This window comes from Homo sapiens, chromosome 3, assembly GCF_000001405.40.
Source record: "Homo sapiens chromosome 3, GRCh38.p14 Primary Assembly".
Lineage (NCBI taxonomy): Eukaryota > Metazoa > Chordata > Mammalia > Primates > Hominidae > Homo > Homo sapiens.
The window spans coordinates 10,075,213-10,081,255 of record NC_000003.12 but is presented as its reverse complement, the minus strand read 5'-3'; the positions used below and the strand labels follow the sequence as shown (position 1 = coordinate 10,081,255).

General features: G+C 47.0%; 1 protein-coding gene across 5 annotated transcripts in view, besides 3 other annotated features; it reads right to left on the bottom strand.

Moving 5' to 3' along the window:
• Positions 1-6,043, bottom strand: part of FANCD2 (FA complementation group D2) — a 75,496-nt gene that overhangs the window by 20,677 nt on the left and 48,776 nt on the right. For all 5 annotated transcript variants that reach the window (NM_001319984.2, NM_001018115.3, NM_001374253.1 and 2 more), the window contains 2 exons: positions 3,059-3,175; positions 28-156 (listed from right to left, as the gene is read on the bottom strand). In NM_001319984.2, the coding sequence (NP_001306913.1) occupies positions 28-156; positions 3,059-3,175 (246 nt within the window). The remainder of the gene's footprint in view (positions 1-27; positions 157-3,058; positions 3,176-6,043) is intronic.
• Positions 2,603-2,907: a mobile genetic element, noted in NCBI's record as "direction; reverse".
• Positions 2,603-6,043: part of a biological region, named in NCBI's record as "3p25 FANCD2 Alu-mediated recombination region", that runs on past the window's edge. NCBI's record gives its function as "recombination_partner: LOC107303341 | LOC107303342".
• Positions 2,754-2,769: a non allelic homologous recombination region, noted in NCBI's record as "AluY recombination sub-region b, recombines with the AluY recombination sub-region d within the 3p25 IRAK2 Alu-mediated recombination region". NCBI's record gives the evidence for it as "EXISTENCE:nucleotide sequencing assay evidence [ECO:0000219][PMID:19280651]".

The window sequence follows — 6,043 nt, the reverse complement described above, 5'->3', positions numbered from 1 at the left end:
AGCAGCTTCTAAGTCTAGGCTTCTGACCTGAAAATAGTTGTGAATGTTCTCCAGGTGGTTACACATTGGGGTCAGCAGTTGAAAAACACAATGAACAATTTCTTGGGCAGATCTCTGTTGGAGATGTGAGAATCCAATATTCCGGCTTCCTTTGTTCTATAATAAATGCAGAGTTATGAGTGAAGAAACTGCTGGATAGCGTCTCAGAAACTAAGGGTTCGCAATGGAGTCAAGTCAAACCTGTGTCACCAGGTAGGAGCAGATGGGAGAAATGAGTTGTTAACCTAAGACTGTATTCTGACAGAGGGATAAAAATCTTGCTCCATCTTCCAATGACTGAGAGATTGGCTTTTGTAGAGTAGGAACAGTGTTTGATTGAGACATATAGCCCTATCATAACTAATCAGATAAAGGTCACATAAAAGTAGAAATCATTTAGGTTGACAAATGTAGGGCAATAGACTCCTTCTTATAATTTTTTTTTTGAGGCAAGGTTCTGCTCTGTCACCCAGGCTGGAGTGCAGTGGCACGATCACAGCTCACTGCAGCCTTGAATTCCTGGGCTCAAGTGATCCTCTCACCTCAGCCTCCTGAGTATCTGAGACCACAGGCACATGCCAACAAACATGGCTAGTTTTTGTATTTTTTATAGAGATGGGGTTTAACCACATTAACCAGGCTGGTCTCAAACTCCTGAGCTCAAGCAATCCACCCATCTTGGACTCCCAAAGTGTTGGGGTTAAAGGCGTGAGCCACTGTGCCCTGCCTCCCTATTATAATTGAAAAACAAACAAACAAAAAAATGTAGAAGCCTGGGCAACATGCTGAAACTCTTCTTTACAAAAAATACAAAAATTAGCTGAGTGCGGTGGCACATGCCTGTGGTCCTAGCTACTCAGGAGGCTGAGATAGGAGGATTACTTGAATCCCGGAGGTGGAGGTTGCAGTGAGCCAAGATTGTGCCACTACACTCCAGCCTGGGCAACAGAGCAAAGCCCTGTCTCAAAAAGTAGACCCGATAGTGAATACAAAGAAGAATGAATTGCTGGGCACTGTAGCTCTTGCCTGTAATCCTAGCACTTTGGGAGGCCAAGGCGGGTGGATCATGAGGTCAAGAGATCAAGACAATCCTGGCCAACATGGTGAAACCCCATCTTTACTAAAAATACAAAAATTAGCTGGGTGTGGTGGCGTGCACCTGTAGTCCCAGCTCCTCGGGAGGCTGAGGCAGGAGAATCGCTTGAACCCAGGAGGCGGAAGTTGCAGTGAGCCAAGATCAAGCCACTGCACTCCAGCCTGGCAACAAAGCAAGACTCCGCCTCAAAAAAAAAAAAGAAGACGAAGAAGAAAAATGAATCAAGAAACCAAGAAACGGGATATATTAATGTTTAAATGCTTATACCCAAGACCCAAGATTTTCTCATTTTGTTATATGTACCGTCCAACTGCTTCCCCGGATGCTAGGTGCACGTTTGTACACTGTATACACATCTGAAGTTCTGGACGTTCTAGACAGCTTACTACTACACTGAGGCATGGGCCCAGGCTTGGTTTGGGAGGCTGTTGAAACCAAAATTCAAGTAAAGAACAGGATTCAGGAATGTTCAGGGCATTTAGAAATACATTTCGTAGGCTGGGCGCAGTGCTCACGCCTATAATCCCAGCACTTTGGGAGGCCGAGGTGGGCGGATTGGGAGGCCGAGGTGGGCGGATCATGAGGTCAGGAGTTCGAGATCAGCCTGATGAACATGTTAAAACCCCATCTCTACTAAAAATACAAAAATTAGCTGGGTGTGGTGGCGCGCGCCTGTAGTCCCCAGCTACTCAGGAGGCTGCAGCAGGAGAATCGCTTGAACCCAGGAGGCAGAGGCTGCAGTGAGCCGAGATTGCACCACTGCACTCCAGCCTGGGAGACACAGCGAGACTCCGTCTCAAAAAAAGAAATACATTTCTTATTCCAAGTGCCTTTCTATTTTCTGTTTCAGACTTCCTATTTTTTTTTTTTTATTTCTGAGACAGAGTCTTGTTCTAATGCCCAGGCTGGAGTGCAGTAGCATGATCTTGGTTCACTGCAGCGTCTGCCTCCTGGGTTCAATCAAGTCTTCTGCCTCAGCCTCCCAAGTACCTGGGACTACAAGCATGCGCCACCATACCTGGCTAATTTTTTTTGTATTTTTAGTAGAGACAGGCTCTTGCCACGTTGGCCAGGCTGGTCTCAAACTCCTGACCTCAGGTGATCCACCTGCCTCGGCCTTCCAACGTGCTGGAATTACAGGTGTGAACCACTGCACAGGTAGACTTTTTTTTTTGTTTGAGACGAAATCTGTCACCCAGACTGGAGTGCACTGGTGCAATCTCAGCTCACTGCAACCTCCTCCTCCCCATGCCTCAGCCTCCCAAGTAGCTGGAACTATAGCTGCACCACCATGCCCGGCTAGTTCTTTTTGTATTTTTAGTAGAGATGGGGTTTCACCATGTTGGCCAGGCTGGTCTTGAACTCCTGAACTCAAGTGATCTGCCCTCCTTGGCCTCCCAAAGTGCTGGCATTACAGGCGTGAGCCACCACGCCCAGCCTTCAGACTTCCTATTTAAAGCAAGATGAGGCCGGGCGCGGTGGCTCATGCCCGTAATCCCAGCACTTTGGGAGGCCAAGGTGGGCGGATCACAAGGTCAGGAGATTGAGACCATCCTGGCTAACACGGTGAAACCCCGTCTCTACAAAAAATACAAAAAATTAGCCAGGCGTGGTGGCAGGCACCTGTAGTCCCAGCTACTCGGGAGGCTGAGGCAGGAGAATGACATGAACCCGGGAGGCGGAGCTTGCAGTGAGCCGAGATCACACCACTGCACTCCAGCCTGGGCGACAGAGCGAGACTCCATCTCTAAATAAATAAATAAATAAATAAAGCAAGATGAATATTGTCTGGCAATACGGCTGCACCCATGCTACCCAGTGACCCAAACACAATGCCAAAGAAAGTGACAACTTTTTCATCATAATACCTCCTTTGTTCCCAAATCCACTATGCCCAAGTCCTATGCTTCTGCCTACACTAACCTTGAGAAAGGGGACTCTCCTGGCAATAGGAGGTGTCAGCATACTCTCCAGCTTCTGGGAGAGATCTTCCAGCAAGAAAAGCAGCTCAGGGGGCCCAAGTTGCACAACTTCTGTAGCCTGTCACATGGAGGAAAGGATTAGTTCCAGGAATGTCCTAGTCATTTCATGATAATTTTTTTTCTTTCTTTTTTGTTAAATGTGCAGTGGCAAGATCATAGCTATTCCAGCCTTGAACTCCTGGGCCCAAGTTATCCTCCCATCTCAGCCTCCCGAGTAGCGGGGACTATAGGCACACACAACCATGCCCAGCTACATTTTTTTTTTTAATTAATAAGAAATGAGGTCTCACTATATTGCCCAAGCTGGTCTCAAACTCCTGGGCTCAGATGATCCTTCTGCCTTGGCCTCCCAATATGCCAGGATTACAGGTATGAACCACCACACCTGGGCCCAGCGAATTTTTAAATTTTTTTATACAGACGGGGTCTCACTTTGTTGCCCAGGCTGGTTTCAAACTCCTGGGCTTGAGCAATCCTCCTGCCTTGGCCTCCCAAGGTATTGGGATTATGGACAGGCATGAGCCACCACACCTGGCTATTTCATGTTAATACTTCCCAATGGGTGAAAAAAAAATTTTTTTTTTGAGACAGAGTCTTGTTCCGTCACCCAGGCTGGAGGGCAGTGGCATGATCTTGGCTCACTACAACCTCTGCGTCCCAGGTTCAAGCAATTCTCCTGCCTCAGCCTCCCAAGTAGCTGGCATTACAGGTGCCCACCACCATGCCTGACTAATTTTTGTATTTTTAGTAGAAATGGGTTTCATCACGTTGGCCAGGCTAGTCTCAAACCCGACCTCAGGTGATAACGCCTGTCTCAGCCTCCCAAAGTGCTGTGATTAGAGGCGTGAGCCACTGCGCCCAGCAGGGTAAATAATTTGACTTTTATTTATTTATTTACTTATATTTGAGACAGGGTCTCGCTCTGTTGCTCAGGCTGGAGTGCAATATTGTGTTCACAGCTCACTGCAGCCTCAACCTCCTGGACTCAAGTGATGGTCCCACCTCAGCCGCCCAGGTAGCTGGGATCACAGGTGTGCGTCACCATGCCTGGCTACTTTTTTTTTTTAACTTTTTGTAGAGACAGGTCTCACTGTGTTACCCAGGCTGGTCTCAAACTCCCAGTACTTTGGGAGGTCAAGGCAGGCAGATCATTTGAGGTCAGGAGTCTGAGACCAGCCTGGCCAATGTGGTGAAATCCCATCTCTACTAAAAATACAAAAATTAGCTGATGTGGTGGTGGGCACCTGTAATCCCAGCTGCTTGGGAGGCTGAGGCAGAAGAATCGCTTGAGCTCAGGAGGCAGAAGAATCACTTGAGCTCAGGAGGCAGAGGCTGCAGTAAGCCAAGATCGTGCCACTGCACTCCAGACTGACGGACAGAGCAAGACTCCGTCTCCAACAAACAAACAAACAAATAAAAAAACTAGCCGGGTGTAGTGGGGCATGCCAGTGGCCCTAGATACTTGGAAGGCTGAGGTGGGAGGATCACTTGATCCTTGAACCCAGGAGTTCAAGGTTGCAGTGAGCTATGATCTTGCCACTGCACTTCAGCCTGGGTGACAGAGCAAGACTCTGTCTCTAAAAAGAAAAAAGAGGCAAGGGAGGAAACTGCACCCATCTCATATAAAGGATAGCTATTATGCTCTGTCATATAATAAAGTCAAGCATGTCCAAAATAAATATTCAGAATAGTAAAATAATAATTCAAGACAGGATAGTTTAGAAGACATACTTTTTCTCTATAAATTCCTCTGTATACCTTTCTAGTTGTGGATCCAAGATGCGTTTCCTAAATATCCTGTGATTTAAAAAATGACTTTGAATGCCACACACAGGGTTTGGGAAAAAAAAAAAAGACTAATTCAAGGGAATTTCCCTTTTGTCTGTTCATTAAATAATCCTTTCATACTTGTTTTCCTCTAATGTTTTGCTACTATTAACTCTGGGCAGGACCCCAGAGTGATCCCAGTGGAATAGCTATATTACACTGCTAGAAGCAGAATGGGTGAAATACAGTCTCACTGCAAACTGCTCACTCAATACACATTTATGTGGCATCTCCTAAGGGCAAGATGATGTAGAAAGATTAAAAAAAAAAAAAAAAGATATGGCTGGGCGCAGTGGCTCACACCTGTAATCCCAACACTTTGGGAGGCCAAGGCGGGCGGATCACGAGGTCAGGAGATCGAGACCATCCTGGCTAACAACGGTGAAACCTCGTCTCTATTAAAAATACAAAAAATTAGCCAGGCATGGTGGCAGGCACCTGTAGTCCCAGCTACTTGGGAGGCTGAGGCAGGATAATGGTGTGAACCCGGGAGGCGGAGCTTGCAGTGAGCCAAGATCCCACCACCGCACTCCAGCCTGTGCAACGCAGCGAGACTCCATCTCAAAAAAAAAAAAAAAAAAAAGGATACTATTTCTGTTCTGAAGGTACCTACATTCGTGTAAATTTCAGGTGAAAATTAATGCTATTTCAATTTCTCTTAAACCTAGAGAAATTCTACTCTCTGATGAAATCCCATCTCAAAAGTTACTTTATCTGTGAAAATGTCCTCTACTCCCAACTTCTATATAAACATCATTCTCTCACTAGAGTTTCACTAGTCCTTGGTTCAGACCATTAATGCCGTATTTGGCATCAATAAAGCTATGGGGCCGGGCACGGGGGCTTGCGCCTGTAATCCCAGCACTTTGGGAGGCCAAGGCGGGTGATCACGAGGTCAGGAGATCGAGACCATCCTGGCTAACATGGTGAAACCCTGTCTCTATAAAAAATGTACAAAAAATTAGCCGGGTGTGATGGCGGATGCCTATAGCCCCAGCTACTCAGGAGGCTGAGGCAGCAGAATGGCGTGAACCCGGGAGGCAGAGCTTGCAGTGAGTGGAGATCCGCGCCACTGCACTCCAGCCTGGGCGACAGAGAG